This window comes from Homo sapiens, chromosome 3, assembly GCF_000001405.40.
Source record: "Homo sapiens chromosome 3, GRCh38.p14 Primary Assembly".
Taxonomy (NCBI): domain Eukaryota; kingdom Metazoa; phylum Chordata; class Mammalia; order Primates; family Hominidae; genus Homo; species Homo sapiens.
Window position 1 is genome coordinate 31,981,750 of NC_000003.12, and position 25,089 is coordinate 32,006,838.

Consider the following 25,089-nt stretch of genomic DNA (forward strand, 5'->3'; position numbering starts at 1 on the left):
GCACACTCCCTCTCTCGGTCTTCCGCACACGATGCTGCGCCAGACGCTCCTACACAGTAACCTGGAAATTATCACCGGCGGAGCAAAGTCACAGCTCAGGGAGGCCCTCCGCGTTGTCTGGCGGAGGAGGGGAGTGGCAGGTGATCCTCACAGGTAAGCTCGCCGGGCATTTTCATGCAGCAGGATTATGATAAATGCTTAACAGACACACGGCTGGGCTGGGGTGAGGCGCGCGAACTCTCAGGTTTGTGCGAGTGCTTCCTTAAATTGAGTGTCCTAGGTCACTCACTGGCCTAACCCTAATCCCCTGCCCTGAATGGCACGCATAAACCTGGCAAGTCAAAACCTATCCATTGCTACCACACTGCACGTGCACCTAGGAGCAGAGGCTCTGAAACCGGGAAAACTGCTCCAGAGGCAAGGGAAATTAACAGATATTTACAAACATTGAAGGATTCTCTGTGTTGGCTGTAACTTCTGCGCCCCTCTTCCTACCTAAAGATACTCTTTCTATCCCACTAATATTTTTTGTGAATATAGATATCCATTGTAATCTGAAGTATCAAAAATTACCTAGAAAAAAGCTTTGAGGAACTCAGACTCTCTCTCTCACACACACACAGACAAAACAAAAGGTGATAGATGATAGGTGATCTCCGTCCAAAGGATCTACAAACCCATCAAGCAGATAAATACTTCAAGAGTTAAAAAAAATTACTAAATGGAAAAGTCAGCTCTCAAAGGGACAGTTCCCCGAGCCCAACCCCTTTCTAGCTTCACATCCTTCCAGGAAGATTTCATGGGTGGTTTAGCTCTAGAGATGCACGGAGAAGCTTCTGGAGTTGAAGAGAAGTGGTTGTGCCCCTGAGTAAATTACAATTCCAGGTGCCTACATAGTGTTAAAAAAAAAAAAATCTGAAAAGAGCTTGCCTGGACCAAATTTGAAGCCATTCAGAGCTGAATTCTAACCTATGACCTTGATCAAATTACCTCTTTTAGCCTTAGTTTTCTCACTGCAAAATGGGACAAATGATACCGGCTGTAATAAACTATGCAAGAATGTTCATTTGTTCAAAATATTTACTGCCGCTTCCTATGGAAAGAGTATCCTTCCTCCACATGGACCTTAGGCTTGGCCATGGAATTGCTTTGAGCAATGGAATGTGAACAGAAGTAATGAATGCCCCTTCCAAACATAAGCTTTAAGAGCAGTCATATGGTTCCACCATCTTTCTCTTTTCCTTATCCCAGGAGAGCAGCATGTCCCGGATAAGGACTCTCCTTAAGCTTGTGTCCTGGAGTGAGAAGGTGTGGAATACAGCAGATCCTAAGCCAGTTAGTGTTGGCCATGTAACATGCACAAAATGTTTGTTTGAAGCCATTGAGATTTTAGCATTATTTTTTACCACAGCATAGCTTTGCCTAAGCTAACTTACTGATCATATATGAGTGTTCATTGAGTCCTGCATTGACATACAGACTGAAGGTGGGAAGGTAGGTGCATACTGGACTATAAATGTCAGCATTATGTACCAAAACAACATGCCTTTTATTGGAGACTGCCACCTTAAGCTCCTGCTAAAAGAGGAGAAGTGTCATTTTATTTCATATTACCTAACCTATGCCACCATTACTCCACCTTATGCAGCCAACCTAAGACTGAATGAGCTAGCACAACAAATTCTCACCTTGGACTAAAAAATTAGACCCTTGAGATAGACCAGTTCAAGTGGGGAAGGAACTAAGCTAAAAGGAATAGTCAAGGCCAGGATGGGGCAGGAGCAAGCCAGCCGTATGGGATCAAAAATGTCCAAGAGGTGAGTGGAGCAGATGTGCTGAAAGTAGAGGCTATATCATGAAAGAGTGATGAAGCACATGCTGTTCCTCCTGCTGGTGACACTGTTCCCTGCTCTCTTCACCCGGTTTGTGTTTCTCACCCATGGAGTTATGGATTACAAGTCACTTCTTCCAGAAAGCTTTCCTTGACCTACCGTAGTATAGCAAATAGGGAAAAGGTACCTGCAGAATTATGTTTGGAGAGGAAAAAGTCTTTATGTTTGAAAAACAATTTGGAAAATACATAATAAGTTGGCAAAAAGTATTTGAAATACATACTGTAATGCCCAACAGTTTCATCTTGCTTGTTACCCGGAAAAGCCAATGCAGGTTTTTGCAATAGAGGAAGAGTTTAACAATTGTAGGGCCAGCCAAGCTGGAGCACAGGAGTGTATTATTACTCAAATCAATCTCCCTGAAAATTCAGAGCCTAAGGGGTTTTTTTTGTTTTTGTTTTTGTTTTTGTTTTGAGACTGGAGTCTCGCTCTGTCACCCAGGCTGGAGTGTAGTGGCACGACCTCAGCTCACTGCAAGCCCTGCCTCCCGGGTTCACGTCATTCTCCTGCCTCACAGCTTCCCCAGTAGCTGGGACTACAGGCACCTGCCACCATGCCCAGCTAATTTTTTTGTATTTTTAGTAGAGATGGGATTTCACTGTGTTCACCAGGATGGTCTCGATCTCGTGACCTCGTGATCCGCCCACCTCGGCCTCCCAAAGTGCTGGGATTACAGGCGTGAGCCACCGTACCGGGCCCACCTAAGGTTTTTTTTTTTTTAAGGATAGTTTGGTGGGCAGAGGGCTAAGGATGGGGAAGCTGATAGATTGGGTGAGGGATGAAATTATAGAGAGTCGAAGTTTGTCTTCTTGCACTGAGTCAGTTCCTGAGTAAGGGCCACAGGACCTGATGAGCCAGTTTACCAGACTGGGTGGTGGCAACTGGTCCGTCAGAATGCAGGGTATGAAAAACACCTCAAACACAAATCTTAAGTTTTACAATAGTGGTGTTATCTATAGGAGTGATGGGGAGGTTAGAAATCTTGTGACCTCTGGAAAAATGGCAGATTATCATTTAACTATGCCTTTATCTTAGCAAAGTTCAGACCTCTCTTAAGCCTGTGGCCTTTCATTAGTTTTACAAAGGTAGTTTGGTGTTCAAACAAGGAGGGAATAGTTTTGGAAAGGGATATTACAATCCTTGCTTTAGGGTTAGACTATGAACTAAATTCCTCCCAAAGTTAGCTGTGGCCTGTGCCCGGGAATGAACAAGGACAGCTTACAGGTTAGAAGCAAGATGGAATCAGCTATGTCGAATTTTTTTTACTGTCATAATTTTGCAAAGGCACTTTCGGTATGATTAAAAATATTGGCTAGGCCAGGCGCGGTGGCTCAAGCCTGTAATCCCAGCACTTTGGGAGGCCAAGGTGGGCGGGTCACGTGAGGTCAGGCGTTCAAGACCAGCCTGGCCAACATGGTACAACCCTGTCTCTACTAAAAATACAAAAATTAGCTGGGCGTGGTCATACACGCCTGTAGTCCCAGCTACTCAGGAGGCTGAGGCAGGAAAATCGCTTGAACCCAGAAGGCAGAGGTTGCAGTGAGCCAAGATCACACCATTGCACTCCAGCCTGGGCAACAGAGCAAGACTCCATCTCAAAAAATGTTTTAAAAATACAAAATATTGGCTAAACACAAATGCTCAATATAAGGACCATTTCCTTAATTTACCCAGATTGCATAAATCACTTAGAAAAAATTTTAAACGTAAATAGAATGACTGGAAATCTGACAGCCATCACAGACCATGTAAAGATTTTGGGAATGAAGCTATGCATGATTGGAGCAATAAGATAAACACATTATACCTCTTGAAATAATGGACAGAATCAGTAGTTCCTAGTAGGGAGCTGACTACCCCATCTTCTTCTCCACATGGACCTGGAGGGCTGGTCTGGAGTTTCTAGTAGTTGTTTCTGAGGCTCCCTCCTCTAGTTAGAAAGCCTTAGGAGGATGTTCATGGACCAGCAAGTAAGTGAGTGGACATTGACTTCATTGGCCAGATGACAGGAATGAAGCTTGGCCACGAATAGAGAGAAAATTATCACAACCAGATCACTCTCTGATATCAACTTGGTCATGTCTGTGTTAGAAACATGTGGTCTGATGTGTTGTACGTCCCAAATAATAATAACAATAATAGCTAATGTATATTGAGCACTATGTGCTAGACTCTGCTTTAAGTGTTTTACACATAATAACTCATTAAATCCTCACAACAACCACATGAGGAGATCTACAGTTCTTACTCCCATTTTACAGGCAGAGGAAACTGAATTGAAGAGAGGTTCAGCAACATCCCCCAAATTCTGGTGGAGCCAGGATTTCAACTTAGGCAATTTGGCTACTGAGCGTGAGTTCTTAGCCACCGTATTATACCACTTGCTTTGCAATGAATCCAGTTTCATTTCCTCTACTTAATGAAACTGCAGAAAGCACAGCTCAGTGCCTGGAATTCCATTTCCTGTTATATTTTTATGCATTTAGGAATTGATCCTCTCATTACCACTCTGAGAGAAGCAGTACAGGTGTTTGGGCCTCTAGCACCCAGCCACAGGGCCTGAACACAATCATACTCAATACATGTTTATTGCATGATAAATGAAGCCTAATTTTACTGAGGAAGAAACAGAAACTCAAAGAGGAGGAGTTGATTCTGAACCAAGGCCTTCTGACTCCAAGTCCAGTGTTCTTGCTGCCTGAACTTCAGCTGTGACGTGTACATGCAACCTTACCATCCAGTGGGAAGAAGAAAATACCAGAATTAAGGTATGGACAGTCCACTATCCAGTGAATAAACAGCTCCATTAAGATTACCCTGAGAGGGCCAGGCGCGGTGGCTCACGCCTAATCCCAGCACTTTGGGAGGCTGAGGCGGGCAGATCACGAGGTCAGGAGATCGAGACCATCCTGGCTAACACAGTGAAACCCTGTCTCTACTAAAAATACAAAAAAAAGTTTATATTTTTTTATACGAAAAAATACAAATATACAAATAAAATAGGCGCCTGGCCTATTTATTATTATTTTATTAAATAGATGCTCACTTTCAAAGATTTGCACACAAAATTATAAAGTAAAAACTGAAGACCAGGTGCAGTAGCTCATGCATATAATCCCAGCACTGTGGGAGGCTGAGATGGGAGGATTGCCCAGGAGTTCCAGACCAGCCTGGGCAACCTGGAGAGACTCCATCTCCAAAAAAATTTTTAAAATAAGCCAGCCACAGTGGCACATGTACCTGTAGTCCCAGCTACTCAGGAGGCTGAGCCAGGAGGATTGCTTGCGCCCAGAAATTTGAGGCTGCAGTGAGCTATGATTGTGCCACTGTACTCCAGCCTGAGTGACAGAGCAAGACCCTATCTCAAAAAAAACAGAAACTAAAAAATTATTTCTAAACCACTGCTAATAATTTATAAATATATATGTGTATATATACTTTTATATATGTATGTCCATATATATGTATGTGTATACACACACACACACACACATATATATACATCTCCTTCCCTTCGTCCAGACACTCTTCTATCTGCATAGTTGTATATCATTTTATTCAAAAACAGGTTCATACTATAAAACATATAATACTTTCTAATTTACCTTGTTCACTGAAGAATATAGTATAGACAATTTCCTTTAGAGCTATATTATCCTTTGTAACAGTTTCAGAGTATTCCACTGTCTATATGCACCCTAATTTAATCATTCCACTACTGATGAACACTCATATTTCAAGCTTTTGCTATTGTGAGAAATGTTCTTTAAATAACCTTTTACATTAGTTTAATTATTTCCTTAGAATAAGATCCAATGACTGGGTCAGGCTGCATACACTTATAAATGTGGCTCATGTACTACAGAATTAACCCCCGGAAAGTCTGAACCAATGTTTACTATGCTGGTTCTGGCTAGATCTAACATGTCAGACCATTGGCTGGATGGACTAGGCTGGCCATGTTTGAGCTGGGCTCTCTAATCCACAGGGTCTCTCATCCTCTAGCAGGCCAGCCCAGGCTTGTTTTCATGGCATGGGGAGGGTTCCAAAGAGAGGAAGCCGGAAGGACCTCCTGAAGCCTAGTCTGGGAACTGGTATAATGTCACTTTGCCACATTTCAACTAACAGTGCTAGAAGACTGGGACATTTATAAGCAAAAAATTGAAAGACCTATACTTCACACTTTATGCAAAAGTCACCTCCAAGTGGATCAGAAACCAAAATGTGAAATGTAAAACCATTAGATTTTCAGGGGAAAACATAGGAAAAAATACTTATGAACTTGGGTTAGGAAAATGGAGCAAACACATATTGCCTTTTGTGATAAGGGAAGGATGATTAAGAGGGCAAAACCAAGGGTTCAGACAGGGAAGCCAAGAACCCCAGAGAAGTATTCCCAGGCCTTGAGACCTAATCACGGAAATTGCAACATTTGCCCAACTGGCTTTCAAAATTGCCTTGGACCACTGATCGCTTTGCACCTCCTGTTTCCGCCTCTTTGAACAAGAATATCTGGAGCAATTATCCTGTGTCTGCTTCACCATTGTGTTTTGAGTGTGAAGGGGCAGATAACCAGTCTCTTTAGTTTCACAGATCAGAGGAACGGCACTTACGGAGCTAAACTTACTAACCTGAGGAGCCTCTCCTACCTAGACCTGACTTAGATGGTGAGATTGTGGACTTGAAGCTAGTGCAGTAATGGGATGAGACACTGGGGGCCACTGAGGAGTAGGATGAGTGTGTTGTACATGTGGGAGGAATATAAAAAAATTTGTGGCCAGAGGGTAGACTGTAGTGATTTCAAAGCTATGCCTATAGATTCCTCTCCTTTAGAGGTGAAACTTAATTCCTCCCCTCTTGAGTGTGGGATGAATTTAGTGACTCACTTCTAATGAATACAATATGGCAGAAGTCATGGTATATCATGTCCAAGATCAGCTTATAAACAGGGGAGTGTTCACTCTCGCTCTCTCTCTCTCTTTCTCTCTCCCCCTGTCTTTCTCTCTCTCTATCATCAGTCACTCTAGGAAAGCCAGCTGCCATGACATAAGGATACTCAGGCCACCAATGGATAGCCCAGGCAGGAGGCATGAAGGTGTGCCAGCCACTGTGTCAGTCACCTTATAAGCAGATTTTCTGAGACCTGCTAACAGCCATGTGAGTGACCTTGGAAGTAGGTTGTCACCAGTCAAGCCTTGAGATGACTGCAGCCATGACCCACAGCTTGACTACAACCCAGAGAGACACTGAGCCAGGAACACCCAGCTGAAGTGCCTCCAAACCCCGACCCACAGCGACTGTGAGATAATCAGTGTTTGTTGCCTTAAGCCACGAAGTTTGTGATAATTTGTTTCTCGGAAACAGATAACTAATACAGAGCAGGAAGCAGATCGCCTCAGTGAAGGTCACACTGCAGCACTATTGATTTCTAAAGACTCATGTTACGTGAGGAAGCAGCTCAGAAGAGGAAAGAAAAGGAGCCAGGCATGGCTCTTCCTCAGGGACACTTGACTTTTAGGGATGTGGCTATAGAATTCTCTTTGGAGGAGTGGAAATGCCTGGACCCTACGCAGAGGGCTTTATACAGGGCCATGATGTTGGAGAACTACAGGAACCTGCATTCTGTGGATATCTCTTCCAAATGCATGATGAAGAAGTTCTCATCAACAGCGCAAGGCAATACAGAAGTGGACACAGGGACATTAGAAAGACATGAAAGTCATCACATTGGAGATTTTTGCTTCCAGAAAATTGGGAAAGATATTCATGACTTTGAGTTTCAATGGCAAGAAGACAAAAGAAATAGCCATGAAGCAACTATGACACAAATCAAAAAGTTGACTGGTAGCACCGACAGATATGATCGAAGGCATCCTGGAAACAAGCCTATCAAAGATCAGCTTGGATTAAGCTTTCATTCGCATCTTCCTGAACTCCACATATTTCAGACCAAAGGGAAAGTTGGTAATCAAGTTGAGAAGTCTATCAACGATGCTTCCTCAGTTCTAACGTCCCAAAGAATTTCTTCTAGGCCCAAAATCCATATTTCTAATAACTATGAAAATAATTTCTTCCATTCATCATTACTCACACTAAAACAGGAAGTACACATAAGAGAAAAATCTTTCCAATGTAATGAGAGTGGCAAAGCCTTTAATTGTAGCTCACTCTTAAGGAAACATCAGATAATCTATTTAGGAGGGAAACAATATAAATGTGATGTATGTGGCAAGGTCTTTAATCAGAAGCGATACCTTGCATGCCATCATAGATGTCACACTGGTGAGAAACCTTACAAGTGTAATGAATGTGGCAAGGTTTTTAATCAACAATCAAACCTTGCAAGTCATCATAGACTTCATACTGGAGAGAAACCTTACAAATGTGAAGAATGTGACAAAGTTTTTAGTCGCAAATCAAATCTTGAAAGACATAGGAGAATTCATACTGGAGAGAAACCATACAAATGTAAGGTTTGTGAAAAGGCTTTCAGGCGTGATTCACACCTCACACAACACACTAGAATTCACACTGGAGAGAAACCTTACAAGTGTAATGAGTGTGGCAAAGCCTTTAGTGGGCAGTCAACACTTATTCACCATCAAGCAATCCATGGTATAGGGAAACTTTATAAATGTAATGATTGTCACAAAGTCTTCAGTAATGCTACAACCATTGCAAATCATTGGAGAATCCATAATGAAGAGAGATCTTACAAGTGTAATAAATGTGGCAAATTTTTTAGACGTCGTTCATATCTCGTAGTTCATTGGCGAACTCATACTGGAGAGAAACCTTACAAGTGTAATGAGTGTGGCAAGACCTTCCATCACAATTCAGCCCTTGTAATTCATAAGGCAATTCATACTGGAGAGAAACCTTACAAGTGTAATGAGTGTGGCAAGACCTTCCGTCACAATTCAGCCCTTGTAATTCATAAGGCAATTCATACTGGAGAGAAACCTTACAAGTGTAATGAATGTGGCAAGGTTTTTAATCAACAAGCAACCCTTGCACGTCATCATAGACTTCATACTGGAGAGAAACCTTACAAATGTGAAGAATGTGACACAGTTTTCAGTCGCAAATCACACCATGAAACACATAAGAGAATTCATACTGGAGAGAAACCTTACAAATGTGATGATTTTGACGAGGCCTTCAGTCAAGCTTCATCTTATGCAAAACAAAGGAGAATTCATATGGGAGAGAAACATCACAAGTGTGATGATTGTGGCAAAGCCTTTACTTCACATTCACATCGCATTAGACATCAGAGAATCCATACCGGACAGAAATCTTACAAATGTCATAAGCGTGGCAAGGTCTTCAGTTAGAGGTCACTCCTTGCAAAACATCAGAAAATTCATTCCTGAGATAATTGTTCCAAATGCAATGAGTATAGCAAACCATCAAGCATTAATTGACATTAGAGTCAATTCAGCATTGACTTGAGTTTCAGTTGACTTGACATTGAGTTCAAGCATTAATTGACATTAAAGTGTTTACGTTAAGAGGATTGGGCTGGGCAGGGTGGCTTATACCTGTAATCCCAGCACTGTGGGAGGTCAAGACGGATAGATCACTTGAGGTCAGGAGTTTGAGACCATCCTGGCCAAAAGACGTGAGCCACTTTTCCTAGCCTGTTTTTTGTTTCTGATAGGGATTTTTATGGGTATTGTGTTGAATCTAAATCACATTGGGTTATATAATCATTTAACAATATTAATCTTTCCAATCCATCAATATGGGTCATATCTCTATTTATATAAGTTTTTAATCATTTTGATCAATGTTTGTAGATTTCAAGGTACAAACTTCTCACCTTTTTACGTTTATTCCTAAATATTTCTTACTGTAAGTTCTCTAGCAAATGGAAGTGTTTTCTTAATTTTCTTTTAACATTGTTTATTGTTAATGTATGGAAATTTAACTAATTTTTGGTACTGATATTGTATTCTGCAAATACACTGTGTTTATTAGCTTCAGTAGTATTTTAGTTGACTCTGTGATTTTCTACACAGCAGATCATGTCATCTACAAACAAATACAATTTTACTTCTTTCTTTCTGAAAAAAAAAATGGATAACTAATACAGATGCCTACCCTGAAACATGCCATTTTTTGATCCTTATGTTTTGGGATCTTTCTCACTACCACTGACCAACTTTTCATATCCTGAAGATATGAAGCAGTGAAAATAAGAGAATTCAAGACAGGCTAAAAAAAAAAAAATGCCAGGTGCAGTGGCTCATGCCTGTAATCCCAGCACTTTGGGTGGATCACTTGAGGTTAGGAGTTTGAGACCAGCCTGGTCAACATGGCAAAACCCCACCTCTACAAAAAATACAAAAATTAGCCAGGCGTAGTGGCACGCACCAGTAGTCCCAGCTACTGGGGAGGCTGAGGCAGGAGAATCACTTGAACCTGGGAGGCAGAGGTCGCAGTGAGCCAGGATCGCCCCACTGCACTCCAACCTAGGCAACAGAGCGAGACTCCATCTCAAAAAAAAAAAAAAAAAGATATGTCAGTGTGGTGTAGGCAAAAAGTATGGACACATAGAAATATGGAACAGAATAAATAATCTAGAAATAGTTTCATATGAATATAGTCACTTGATTTTGACAGAAATGCAAAGGCAATTCAATGCAGCTTTTTGTATTGGTTTCCTATTGCTACTATAAAATATTACCATAAACATAGTGGTTATTATAAAACAATACAACTTGATTATTTTACCGTTCTGGCAGTCAGAAGCCCAAAAATGGGTCTTACATGGTAAAATCAAGGTATCAGTAGAGCCATGTTGATTCTGGAGGCTCTAGGGGAGAATCTATTACTTGCCTTTTCCAGCATCTAGAGGCTGCCCACATTCCTTGGTTCCTGGTTTTTGGCCCCTTTCAGCAAGGACATCACTCCAATCTCTGGTTCTGTCATTGCATCTCCTTCTCTGACTCTGACCCTCCTGCATTTTTCATAAGGACCCTTGTGATTACATTGAGCACACCTGGATGATCTTTTCAACAAGTGATGGAACTAGACATCTATATGCAAAAAACAAACAAACCTTGGCCAGGCATGGTGACTCATGCCTGTAATCCCAGCACTTTGGGAGGCCAAGGCAGGAACATCACTTGAGGCTGGGATTTCAAGACCAGCTTGGGCTACATAGCAAGGTAACATCTGTCCAGAAAGTTTTTTAAATAAAATATTAGCTGGGTGTGGATGGCACATGCCTGTAGTCCTAGTTACTCAAGAGGCTGAGGCAGGAGTATCACTTGAACACAGAAGTTCAAAGCTGCAGTGAGCTGTGATCATGCCACTGCACTCCAGCCCAGGCAATAGAGCAAGACCCTGTCTCTAAAAAATAAACAAATACTGAAAATATTTACTCTACAAAAGATATGGGTAAGGAAATGAAAGGTGAGCCAAAGACGGGAAAATATTTGCAAATCATGTGTTTGACCAAGGACTTGTTTCCCGCATATTCAAAGAACCCTCAAAATGCAGAAGTAAGAAAACCTTATTTTATTTTATTTTATTTTATTTTATTTTATTTTATTTTATTTTATTTTATTTTATTTTTGAGACAGAGTTCACTCTTGTTGACCAGGCTGGAGTGCAATGGCACGATCTCAGCTCACCACAACTTCCACCTCCCAGGTTCAAGCACTTCTCCTGCCTCAGCCTCCCGGTAGCTGGGATTACAGGCATGCGCCACCATGCCCGGCTAATTTTGTATTTTTAGTAGAGACAGGGTTTCTCCATGTTGGTCAGGCTGGTTTCAAACTCCTGACCTCAGGTGATCCACCCGCCTCGGCCTCCCAAAGTGCTGGGATTACAGGCATGAGCCACCGCGCCCAGACAAGAAAACCCTTTTTTAATCACAAAAAATGTGAGCATTCACTTCACCAAATAAGATATACAGATGTCCGAAAAAGCACATCAAGAGATGTTCAACATTACTAGTCATTAGGGAAATACAAGTAAAACTACAATGAGATACTACTACATACCTATTAACATGACTACACACACATACACACACACACACACACACACACAAAACTGAGGATACCAAGTGCTGGTGAGGATGTGGAGTAATTGGAACTCTTACACATTGCTGGTGAGAGTGCAAAATAATACAGTCACTTTGGAAAACAGTTTGACAGTGTCTTTTAAAGTTAAACATACAATATGATCTAGTTATTCCACTTCTAGATATTTATACAAATATAATGAAAACCTATGTTTGTACAAAAAAAAACTTGTTTGTGAATGTTTATTGATGCCTTATTCATAATCATCAAAACCCGGAAACAACCCAAAGATCCCTCAACTGGGGAATGAATTAAAAATGTAAACCAACTATGGTACATGTATACAATAAATGAGTACTCAGCAATAAATGAGAGTAAACTATTGTTACATGCAATATTGCAAGTGAATCTCATATGCATTATGTTCAGTGAAAGAAGCCAGACTCAACCACACACTATATGATTTTCTTGATAATGACATTCTGGAAAAGGCAAAACTATAGGAACAGAGTTGAGAGTAGTGATTGCCAAGAGTTAAGAGTGGAGCAAGTGTTTGACTAGAAAGAGGTAGCTAGACAGAAATGTATTTGAACGTGGGTGGAGTGATGGAACTGTCCTATAACTTACTTGTGGCAGTGGTTACAAGAGCTCCAGGCCTCATAGAAACTCATAGACTGTCCACCAAAAATAGTGAAATTTATTAAATGTGAACTTCTCAAACAAATTTTTAAAAAAGAAAAAGGTATATGAGGTCAAATGTCCTGTATGCCTTCATGTTAGAGGATGAGTTCCCTATGTCAGGGAAAAAAAGGATGGATGGATGGATGGATGGATGGATGGATGGATGGATGGATGGTCTGCCAGCCTAACTGCATGCCTGCTGAAAATTTTCAGTGATATTTCTAAGATCTTTTGGGTAGGTGTGCAGATGTCTTTTCTATACACCTTCTTCAAGTGACAGTAATGTGAGCATTTGATTAAATGAGACACCAAATCAGAAAATTCTTTATAAATTGAAAGTGTACTGCAAACACCAGATATGTTACTGCCAAAGGAAGAAACAGTCTAGATATTCATGTGTCTTAAGATTGAGGCTCCTGAAAGGCCATAAAACAAATACCCCAGTATCAGGGGAACTTGCCCCCAATATTTCAACGTAGGTTCTTTCTATTTTCCCTAAGTGTCGGCTGGTCTGAGAAACAAAGAGAAAGAGTACAAAGAGAGGAATTTTACAGCTGGGCTGCCAGGGGTGACATCACATATTGGTAGGACCATGATGCCCACCTGAGCCGCAAAACCAGTAAGTTTTTATTCAGGATTTCAAAAGGGGAAGGGGTATATGAATAGGGAGTAGGTCACATGCTTTAAGGGGCAAAAAGCAGAGTAAAGATCATATGCATCTGAGGAAATGGGGCAAGGACAAAATCAGAACTCCTGGTAAGGGTCTATGTTCAGCAGTGCACGTATTGTCTTGATAAACATCTTAACAGAAAACAGAGTTTGAGAGCAGAGAACTGGTCTGACCTCAAATTTACCAGGCTGGGATTTCCCAATCCTAGTAAGCCTGAGAGTACTGCAGGAGACCAGGGCGTATCTCAGTCCTTATCTCAACCACATAGGACAGACATCCCCAGAGCGGCCGTTTATAGACCTGCCCCCAGGAATGCAATTCTTTCCCTAGGGTCTTAATATTCCTTGCTAGGAAAAGAATTTAGCGATATCTTCCCTATTTGCATGTCCATTTATAGGCTCTCTGCAAGAAGAAAAATATGGCTCTTTTTGCCCAACCCTGCAGGCAGTCAGACCTTATGGTTGTCTTCCCTTGTTCCCTAAAATCGCTGTTATTCTGTTCTTTTTCAAGGTGCACTGACTTCATATTGTTCAAACACACATGTTTTACAATCAATTTGTACAGTTAACGCAATCATCACAGTGGTCCTTAGGTGATGTACATCCTCAGCTTACGAAGATAACAGGATTAAGAGATTAAAATAAAGACAGGCATAAGAAATTATGAAAGTATTATTAGGGAAGTGATAAATGTCCATGAAATCTTCACAATTTATGTTCCTCTGCTGAGGCTCCAGCCGGTCCCTCCATTCAGGGTCCCTGACTTCCCGTGACACCCCAGGTTTTTAAAGAGCCACAGGAAGTCCCTATCCAGAGATGAAGTGACATGCAGTTAGTGTGATCAATGCAGTGCAAAGCCGCTGTTAATAACCATCCATGACATCTCCCCTTCCTGATTTGCCACCTGACAAAATGCCCTGTGGAGGGCTGGAAATGGAGGATGAATCCAATCTCAGCATTTTTCTGAGAAGGAAAATGAAACTCAAAAAAAGGAGACTCCCAGGGTCACACTGTGAGCTGGAGGTAGAATTGGGGCTGCCAGTTTCAAGGCAGAATGTTCTTGACTGGATGCCATTTAAACGGCAGTTTTAAGTGGTTTGCAAAATACTAGTCCTTCTGACTTCCCCACAGGTAAACGCAAACAACCAGAATGGAAGATTACCAAAGTGGACAAAATATTCTAGAGACATAAAAGGGGGAAAATACAATTCAATGTTCCTGTAAAGAGAAACTTCTGTCCAAAGAAATGTTTTAAATTTAACTGAGACTTGTAACATTCTTTTTGTTACAACCTGCTAGAGAGGACTTGATTTCTCTAAACTCTCCCCCCCGTGCAAGGGAACAATGATATGATTGTGGGTTGTTTCACTTTGAGTGTTTCTCAACCTCTAAATATGAGCCATTCTCTGCATCTAAATATGAGCCAACCTATGTGTGATCTGAAGTCTTTTTAAATATAAATTGCCAGGGGGAGAAGGGGGTTAGTGGACCTTAAGGCTTTTATCTTCAGATTTAAGAATTGACTTTCCCAAAGTTTAAAAAGAGAAAAGACCACTTACAGAAAATCTCTAATACATCTCTGTACTCCCAGTCCTGAAAAGAGAATTTCAGAAAGAAGCTGTTGCCGGGTGCTGACGTTTCTTTTTGGATCAAACCTAATATTCAAGTCAATTTTTATAGGTTGAAACTATAGAAGAAAGAAAGCAAAAGCCGAAAAACCAGCAAAAAGATCCCGCTATCAACTCCAGAGAGTGCAGAACTTAAAAAAATAAAATTTAAAACAAAAAAAACTTGACAAGTATCTTTGGACAGGTAGGAAGTTCAGTTTTGTGAGCACTCCATTCAATATGGTATGTGGTTGTGAATCTTGGAGAACTAAAGCCAAGCTTCTACCCTTCTTCCCAGAAGGCTCCCCACTCACAATGGGAGAGAAGCCAGAGGAAAGGAAATTATCATGGAGATTCATCTTGATGCAAAGGTGGGAGCCTTTATTTATAGTTACCACACGTTTCTTGCAGCTGAATGGCTTGCTTTCTGACAAGACACATTTGAGATCATCATATGCTTAAATTTACTAGCACACATTATGCAGTAAATTATTTCTGACTTAAAGCTTTTAAAAAGCATGCCCGATTTATGTGCACAGCAGAGCCCTGTAAATATGACTATTACAATGTCAATAGGCAGTGTTTAAGTCCTAATAGTCTCCCTATGAGCATTTATGAACATCATTCTTTTTTTTTTTCAAGATGGAGTCTCGCCCTCACTCTGTCGCCAGGCTGGAGTGCAGTGGTGCGATTTCGGCTCACTGCAACCTCCGCCTCCTGGGTTCAAGGGATCCTCGTGCCTCAGCCTCCCAAGTCACTGGGATTACAAGCACGAGCCACCACACCCAGCTAATTTTTCTATTTTTAGTAGAGATAGGGTTTCACCATGTTGGCCAGGATGGTCTCTATCTCCTGACCTCATGATCTGCCCGCTTCAGCCTCCCAAAATGCTGGGATTACAGCCACCGTGCCAGGGCAAACATCATTCATTGTTAAAGAGATAAAGGAGAGTTAGTGAATTAGCAAATGACAAGCAGAAGAAGGATTTTTTTTGTTTTGTTTTTACTTTCCTTTATCAAATAGTCTGCTTACCACAAATTTCATCAAGCGAACATCTGGAGATGGGAGATGGAACAGCTGTGAGTTAGTGCCTCTTCCTTGTCATGGAGCAACTTGCCTCGCTGAGCCTCAGTGTTTTTGTTTTGTTTTGTTTTTGTTTCTGAGACAGGGTCTTACTCTGTCGCCCAGGCAGGAGTGGGAGTGCATTGGCACAATCCCAACTCATGGCAGCCTCGACATCCTGGGCTCAAGCAATCCTCCCACCTTAGCCTCCCGAGTAGCTGGGACTATACAGGTATGCACCACCGTGCCCAGCTAATTTTGTTTTATTTTTTTGTAGAGACTGGGTCCCACTCTGTTGCCCAGACTGGTCTCAGACTCCTGAGCTCAAGCAGTCCTCCCGCCTCGGCCTCCTGAAGTGCCACAGGTGTGAGCAGCCGTGCCCAGCTATAGCCTCAGTGTCTTCATCTGAAAAATAAGATGACAGCACCCACTTTGTGGTGCTGTTGTCAGGCTCTAATAAGGCATCTTGAGTTGTATTACTTAGTAAATGGTAAAGTACTATGATGTGTGAGAGAGTATTTGGGGTTTTGTTTTCCTTGTGGCATTTTTTTTGCCCCCAGATGAAAGGGAAGAAATGAGGAATGGCTTCAGCATCAAAGTATACTCCCCATCAGCATATCTCACCACTGGCGACTCACCCTTTGAATGAAAACCCCTCAGAAAAAATTCCATGTGAGTGCTGAGTCTGTTGATTTCTTGCTAGTAAGGGAGAATTATTGGTCAGAATTTGAGCAGATGGTTGTCCCCCAGCATCAGGCTTATTTACAATTTAGAAAGGGAACTTCACAACTACTGTATATTAACTTGGGATTGCAATGATGGAGATATTTCATTCTGTCACTAGCAAAACCCATAATCAAATTCCAGTTTCCTTATCTGTCCCTTTCATTGGATCTTTTTCAAATAATTTGATGGTTACATACCAAATATGGTCCTCTAGTCATTTAAATTCCCCACTTTATAGCTGTTCTTGCCAATTGGCTATCCATCAATTCTGCTCATACTGAGAACTCCGCCCTTTCCCTTTCTAGCTGTAGTCTCCTATTCCTGCATTTTCCTTATAGATCCACGTCTATTGGTTTTTCTGTCCCTACTGAGTTTTTCTGCCATTGGCTATGGTAGATCTGCACCATTAATGGAGAGTTTCCAACTAAAACAGTTCTTTTTCAACTATCTTGGATAAATAAAATTTATCCATTCATTGGCTCAGAGCAATCATTCACACTTTAGTATAAGTGGATATTTAAAATCTATTTAGCTATTTTGCATTCATAAGAAAACACAAGGTCGAAGAAGATGTGTAAAAGAGAAAAAAGGAGGGACATAATTTACAAATTTGTATCAGCCAGACAGTAATAATCTCCTGAAGAGAGCCTAGCTTTTAGTTTTCACTTGGCCCATCTCTGCTGTTAGCTTGATCAGCTGTCTCCCCTCTGCTGTCTGGAGGGCATCACTGTAACTCCAGACTGCACAAGAGCTGCAGTGGCAATCAGGTGTGGCATGTAGCAAAGGTATCAGTCTTTCCTGTCTTGCCAGCTACTCCCCTAACCTGATTCCCCTATGTCAGTGATGATAACATGGCCCAGATTGTTTTCATTCTTTTCAATGAATGTGATTATTTATGCTTTGGGAGACTTTTCAGATAAAAATATCAAAATCTTTTTTTTTTTTTTTTTTTGAGACAAGGTCTCACTCTGTTGCCCAGGCTGGAGTACAATGGCACAATCTCGGCTCACCACAACCTCTGCCTCTTGGGTTCAAGCGATTCTTCTGCCTCAGCCTCCTGAGTAGCTGAGATTACAGGCATGCACAACCACGCCCACCTAATTTTGTATTTTTAGTAGAGACACGGTTTCTCCATGTTTTTTTAGGCTGGTCTCGAACTTCCTACCTCAGGTGATCTGCCTGCCTTGGCCTCCCAAAGTGCTGGGATTACAGGTGTGAGCCACCGTGCCCGGCCTCAAAATCATTTTTAAAAATTCTTTGCCATTCATAAGTTTTGCTTTGGGGTTCAGAAAATATGGCTGCCTCTGCTATGCCCAGATGTCAGGGATCACCTTTTCCAAGGCATGCCCACAGCCCGGTGAAATGAGACCTAGAGAGCATTCTGTTTTGTACTGAAACTCTCTAAACTTTCAGTCAGAGTAATTTTACTGCTGTCACAAAACCGGGCCTGAAAACCGAACCTTAAAAAGGTCATTCGATTCCCTTGCCCTTAGGTCAGGGCCAAAATGTTCATAAGAGCCTCTTCTAAAACTAATTCCCTTTGACTTTAAATATCTAGTGGTGCGGCCTCAGCTATAACAGGGAGATGATCTTTGCCACAAAGATAACCAAAAAGTCTGAGTCTCATGGTCCAATGGTTATCTTTGTTTGTTTCTAAGTCAGCCTTCATTTCCTCTGTCTTAGTCATACCAGCTTATTCTATTTGAGGCTGTCTTCCTCTACCTGGTAAATTAACGTTCATTTTCCTGGGTTTTATACAAGTATAAAGCCCTGCTCTCGCCACATAATTTCACTGTAGCATGGTCATGCTGACGTGACAGAATGACATGACAGAGTTAGCACTCTAGATAAAGGAGAAAAACTAAGATCAGAGTTATATTCGGCTTATAATACGGGCTCAAAGACCAAAGGTCCATTCCAAATAGTGTTTAGGATCAGACTGCCTCCAACTGGTTTTGCTACTTCATAGCTATATGACCTCTCTGGGCCTCAGTCTCCTTAACGGTCATATGAAGATCACCCCACCACACCAGTGGGCCTCTGTGAGGGCGAAATGAAATTGTAAGGAGGCCAGCATGCTGACTCCCATATAAAGGATAATCAATGCATCTATTTGAACCCATCATTTATCTAACACACTCTAAAAGCATTTCTATAACATCTGTGCGAAATTGCGGGGCTGTTCTCAGCACGGTTTGTCAGCCCTTCCTCGTGACGGTTGTTCCTCCCTTTACCATTGTTGACTCCTGCACTGCAAGGTGATCTGGCCAGCTCTAGGTAGGTTACACTTCAGTTTCCAAGCCAATTTTGAGAGGGAATAGAAAAATATTCTGCCTTCTCTGCTCAGCACTCTCCCCCTTCTTCCTGGAACTGCTCTTTGACTCCGGCCATGCGGTTCACATGGGAAATACCTTTCTCTTCCATGGCCACAACTGAATACTCTAAGACGTGCAGCTTTCCAAACCAGAAAGCTTAGAGACATTCCTGGAAATCTTTGGAACTGGAATGAAGAAAAGACTGTCCTTAACCTGTGGTAACAGCCTTGGGGAAGGGGACTTGGAGCTGTTAGCAGCCATGTTCCTGGCTGTGTGGACAAGGTCAATGTGCTAGGACAGAGAATCAAACTAATAAACAGGCAGAGTTGAGAGATGAGTGAAGGCATCTAGGGGCGCTGTTGTCTGTCCACTCTTCCTGAAGCCTGGCTGATCAACCTGTGCTTTATGGCATAAGCTCCCTCATTGTTTCAGGTGGGGTTCTGTGCTTGCAACCAAGCAGCGATGCCTAAGAGGAGAGGCAAACATTCATTCAGCCTGGATGTGTCCCAAGAGAACTTCCCGGTCTCCAACCCTTCCCTGGCCTACTCTATAAGGCTGGGCTCTATATTAACCCCTACAGTCTTGCTGATCTGTTGGTGTATTCTGTCTGGCATCTCAGTCTATCAATAAAATAATAATCATAGGTATTACTTGAGGGTCTCTGGTACAATAAGCATTTTACATCTATTATTGCTCTCATTGTGTTAAATTAAAATTTCAAAAGGTAAAATCCTGACTCTCGTGCAAATGTGAAATGAACCCATGCCAAGGGTTTTATTCAACTCATTAATTAATAGGGAAACCAGTAAGATGTAAAAACTGGTGCAAATAAGAATTTAAATTACAGAGATTTATATTCTGTACCAGAGAAAATTAATTGGCATTGCTATGAGCAGGAACTGTTACCATCAGTTTTCTATAACTTAATTTCTACTGTTAGTTGAATTTTTAAAAAGGCTAGTCATTGCTTCTCAGCCTTTTGGCTAATATCAAGTGTAAAAAAAAAAAGCCTAGCCAATGGCAAGTCAGTGAAATGTGCACACCCCTTTGGAATCAGATATCCCCAGAGGGTCCCCAGGACAATGGCCCCACTCAATTGAAATAACACCCAGTAATCTCTATTATCCAATCCCAACTCTTGGACAATTTTTTTCTGACAATTACAGCAATCCTGAAGAAGAGAGATTATTATGCTTAATAAAATATCATCTTCATTTTGAGATGAGGACACTGAGGCACACAGAAGTAAGACATTCATTTTGCTCACATGATTAATAAATGGCAGGTTAGGGTTCAAACCCAGCTCTGACTCCAGATTCCCAGTTTAAACTGCCCAGGTTGGCTAGGTCCTAGGTATACTTCCTGGCTCATACAAGTCCATCTAGGGGAAAACATTACTCACTCATTCATTTACTCATTCATTCATTTACTCGCCCATTCAACAGAAATTGCTTCTCTCTTTTATCCTGCATTTTAGGTGCTATGATGAATTGCTGTCCACTCAACCAACCCAAGACCAGCAGGAACAAAGCCTACTCTGAAAAAGCCTACAAAGTTGTGTTCATTGACACATTGCAAAGAGACCACACACCAGGAGAACCATAGGGTATCTCCCCAAACAAGGAAAAGAAAAGAATTACAGTATGGGGCAAGGGGAGGAATGGAATTTAAGTGAAATGTATTTTGACAGACTCAAAGCAAGATAGGTCTAAATGTAAAGGTATTATTTTAAGTCCTGGACTATGAAGCAGACCCAGGAACCTGTTTGCTGGGAAGCAATAAGATTATTATCCATAGCTGTGGAATACTGTGTCCAAAAACCCCTCCTCCAAAGCTCTGTACCTAGGGTTTGAATCAAGGCTTCTTCTCTCTTGGTGACTTAGATCCTCCAGGCAAGGGTGAGATGTTTCACTCTAACATCATTTCAAACAGCAATGTTTCTGATAGTCTAAGATTTTAGAGAAAAAAGGTTTCTCAGTGAGTCAGAAGGCACTACTCACTCCAAGAAGGGGGTTGTTGTGACCCTTTACCACTACAGTGTGCCCCTTGGGAGAAATACTATTTATTGTTAACTTTGAATCTGCTTTTATCTTTTATTCCAGCCTGATGAATGGCCAGGCAGATTTTAACAGTCCAAGCTAATTTTTACTTTCTCTTGTCTCAATGGGGGTGACAGACAATCAGGTCATTACAACACAGTGGGAGAAGCAACTATGATGAGGGTTTAATTTAGACTTCATTTAGGTCAGGGAAGACTGTCTGCAGGAGGCAGACCTCCCAGCTGGGAAAAGCAGAAGCTGGCCGAACGAAAGTGGGAAGGAGGAGTGTTACAGCACAGTGAGGACTTGGGCAGAGGCACCAGAGTGGGGCAGAGGGTGGTAAATTGGAGGAATCACAAGTGTCATTGAAGGCAAATCAACGGAATGTCTAGAATGCTTTGGAGGACTGCGTAACACTTACATCAGAACTTAGACCAAACTCTCCTCTGGCTAAGGTTAGAAAGCACAGGTCACTGGGAGTATGTGTTCTCTGTTCAGGGGAGAGTCATTAGCGTGGTCTTCCTATGCATATACACATGAAAGGCAAGTAGCCCCCAGAGGGGAAGTGCTAAGGGGGAGTTCCCCCGAGGTTTCCTAAGGCACCTGGTTTGCAAAGCTGATCCCTGTGTGGAAAGTGGAGCCATTTGTAGACTTGCCCTGAACCATCCCATCCTGTTTCCTGAGGACATTTAGGGAACCAGGCTAGCCTTTAACCAATGCTGAGTTTCAGGAAAGGACAAGGACAACCAAGAAATAAAACCACCATGAAGAAACAGGGTGTTTCTGAGAACTGAATATACCAGTGGGTGGTATCATTCAAGGTCCTGGGAGGGAACAGACTGCACAGTGAAACAGGATAATCCTCTTTCTCGTCTCTTCACTGGCCGAAACCAATCAGGAACAAAGGGCAAGGATTTAATTGGTCCAGGTGGACCTGGGCATCGGAGGTCATGTAGCTCTGCAGGGCACTGCAGTGTGTGGTCAGCACTGAGGGCACCTCTCTCTGAGAGCTGCCAAGGCTGTCCCTGGAGGTCATCCTCCAGGACAGAGAGCAAGGTGGAAAAGGGAGAACAGTGGATTTGGAGGGACAAAGTAGAAAGTTCTAGAACACGGGCTAATACTAAGGGCTCTTTTGGACTTGTTCACCCTGGCACAGAGGTTTTTCTCTGCAAAACAACAGCTGGATTTGGGAAAGTGAGATAAAAGGAGTTGTCACTTATAGCACAGCAGGGAACAGCAGACCCTAGCACTGTGGACCTGGTGTCTTCAACAAACTGCCACTTTGGAGACAAGCAGTAGAAAGAATTTTAAATTATTGAACTTACTAGTTTTAACTTATATTATTTTAAATGATTTCTTATTTAAAAAATTAACGAGTGTCCATGTTGGCACCCTTTGTTAGAGAAGCAGATCCTGTTAGAGTGGTGACAGCCAAGTCTGGAGCCCTAAGCAAGTCTGGAAGGACATGAGTGTCAGGTGGAGACTTTATCCTGAGGGCAGTGTGGACCTGGAGGGCCTCCAGCAGGGAGCAGCATGTGGTACTGGCTGCTTTTGCTGGATTATGCTGTGATAGGCAAGCCCCTGCCCATCCCTTACATTACCAGGAAGGATTGCATATTAATTCTGTTGTCACCTGACTCCCTTGCCCAGATGGGGAAGACAACTGTTAAGCACTAGAAGAGAAGACAAGAAAGGGGAGTCAGAACACAGGGACAAAAAACAGTACTTGCTTTTCAATTTTGAGCCTTCAAGATATCGGCTGGAGAACTAGAAAATCTTGTTTCCAGGCATCACATTCTTCGGTTCCTCTGCATTTTTCTAAGCTTTGGAGGAATGTATAAACTGGTTTCCAAAAATGTTCTGAGTTTTCTTTCAACAAAACTATTGAACACCTGCTATGTGTCAGGTACCAAGAGAACAACAGAGAAGAAAACATGGGCTGCCTGACAGCCTTGCAGAGCGACAGACACATGCGCAGTTATTTGCAGGTGTATGGCTTAGCCTCTAAAACAATGCAGGCCATGTTTTAGACCAAAGAAAAGGATAGCTAGAATTTTTACAGGTGCATAAAATTAAGTAAATTATAGTCCTTATTTCATGGTGCTTATTGTCATCAGCCTGTTTTATTTTTTGCAATTCAATTCCCACTTATGTTTCTCCCCATAGGCACCCACTTTGATGGACTTAATAAGTATCCTTGGATAGGATGGCATCTTTATAAAATCATACAGAAGTGGTATCACACCGTAGATCTTAATCTGCCGCTTCTTTCACTCAACACTTTTTTTTATTATTTTACTTTAAGTTCTGGTGTACATGTGCAGAACGTTCAGGTTTGTTACATAGGTATACGTGTGCCATGGTGGTTTGTTGCACCCATCAACGCGTCATCTAGGTTTTAAGTCCTGCATGCATTAGGTATTTGTCCTAATGCTCTCCCTCCCCTTGCCCCCTATCCCCAACACTAATTTTTAAGATCTACCCATGATGCACACGCACATCTAGTTCATAGGGCCTAACTGCTGGAAAGTATTCCACAGGTTGTATCTATTCCATAGTATTATCCATTCCCTGAGCAGTAAATGCTCAGATGCCTCCAATTGTCCTACTACCACATTAATCTGGAGATTAACGTAGCATCTGTAGACCTGTCCCTTTATGGACTGTGAGCAAGTTTCTCTGGAGCATTTACCCAGGAGTAGGCTAAATAAGTCATGGGGCATATGTGACGTCCATAAGTATTGGCATACTGCTCTCCAGACACTCAAACTTGGTATTGTCTGCCTCTTTAATGTTTTGGGTTTTTTTTGTTGTTGCTTTTTCTCTGAGATGGAGTTTCACTCTGTTGCCAGGCTGGAGTGCAGTGTCGCTGTCTCGGCTCACTGCAACCTCTGCCTCCCAGGTTCAAGCAATTCTCCTGCCTCAGCCTCCTGAGTAGCTGGGACTAAAGGCACCTGCCGCCATGCCCAGCTAATTTTTTGTATTTTTAGTAGAGATGGGGTTTCACCGTGTTAGCCGCATGGTCTCAGTCTCCTGACCTCGTGATCCGCCCACCTCAGGACTCCCAAAGTGCTGGGATTACAGGGTGAGCCACCGTGCCCAGCCCAATGTTTTTGGCTTTTAAGTGGTGTCTTGTTTTACTTTATTTATTTATTTTATTTTTTATTTTATTTTGTTTTTTTGAGACAGAGTCTTGCTCTGTCACCCAGACTGGAGTGCAGTGGTACCATCTTGGCTCACTGCAGCCTCCGCCTCCCAGGTTCTAGCAATTCTCCCACCTCAGCCTCCCAAGTAGCTGCGATTACAGATGAGCACCACCATGCCCAGCTAATTTTTGTATTTTTAATAGAGACGGGGGTTTCACCATGTTGGCCAGGCTGGTCTCAAACTCCTGACCTCAGGTGATCCCTCTGCCTCGGCCTCTCAAAGTGCTGGGATTACAGGCGTGAGCCACCGCACCCCTCCATCTTGTTTTATTTTGGTATCCAATGAAGTTGAGCAATCTTAGCCATTTTGATTTCCCCTTGAATACACTTTGTGTATTTTTCTGTTGGATTTACTTTAGATATTATTTCTGTCACTTTTTGATGATGTAAAAATCTCCCTTTCTGTAAGCCAGTTGTCATCTTTGTCTACTATATCACATTAAAAATGAATTCTTAATCGTGGTCTAATATAATCCATTGAACTTTTTTACCCAATTGTTGGTGATTTCTGGGTTTTGTAGAAATCCTTCAACCCTACCTCTCTTCTACCCCCAAAAAGATACTCTTCCTACATTTTCTTTTTTTAACTTTATAGTTTTATCTTTCCATTGGATCTTGGTTGATCTGAAATTTACCTTCACACAGAATGAAGTAAGGACCTAATTTTACTTTTCTCCAATAGTGAGGCACTGTTGCCTTTCTCCACTGACTTGTGGTGTCAACCTCATATATCAAGTTCTCATGTACACAGCTTTGCTTCTGAGCTCTCTGTTCTGCCCCATCGGGCTATTTACCCACACTTATGTACCATAATGCTTTTGTTGCTGTGGCTTTGCAGTATTTGTTAATATC

The 25,089-nt window shown here is 42.0% G+C and overlaps 2 protein-coding genes across 10 annotated transcripts in view; one reads left to right on the forward strand and one right to left on the reverse strand.

Moving 5' to 3' along the window:
* ZNF860 (zinc finger protein 860) lies at positions 1-24,694 on the forward strand. 6 transcript variants are annotated; one of them, XR_007095674.1, is made up of 4 exons: positions 13,191-15,094; positions 15,188-15,260; positions 16,512-16,623; positions 20,470-24,694. XR_007095674.1 is itself a non-coding variant. In XM_047448072.1 (3 exons), the coding sequence occupies exon 3, from the start codon at positions 7,331-7,333 to the stop codon at positions 9,227-9,229; it is 1,899 nt and encodes a 632-aa protein (XP_047304028.1). In that variant the 5' UTR covers positions 1-153; positions 4,499-4,660; positions 6,911-7,330; the 3' UTR covers positions 9,230-9,974. The 6 variants fall into 6 exon arrangements, 4 of the variants coding, with proteins under 4 accessions (XP_047304028.1, XP_047304030.1, NP_001131146.2 ...); XM_047448072.1 differs by lacking the exons at positions 13,191-15,094; positions 15,188-15,260; positions 16,512-16,623; positions 20,470-24,694 and adding exons at positions 1-153; positions 4,499-4,660; positions 6,911-9,974; XM_047448074.1 differs by lacking the exons at positions 13,191-15,094; positions 15,188-15,260; positions 16,512-16,623; positions 20,470-24,694 and adding exons at positions 1-153; positions 4,574-4,660; positions 6,911-9,974.
* OSBPL10 (oxysterol binding protein like 10) overlaps positions 1-25,089 on the reverse strand; it is a 416,868-nt gene that overhangs the window by 320,925 nt on the left and 70,854 nt on the right. The window lies entirely within an intron of this gene.

Bases quoted from the DNA above. Each gene is read 5' to 3' on its own strand.
- ZNF860 (XM_047448072.1), top strand. From the start codon at position 7,331: ATGTTACGTGAGGAAGCAGCTCAGAAGAGGAAAGAAAAGGAGCCAGGC.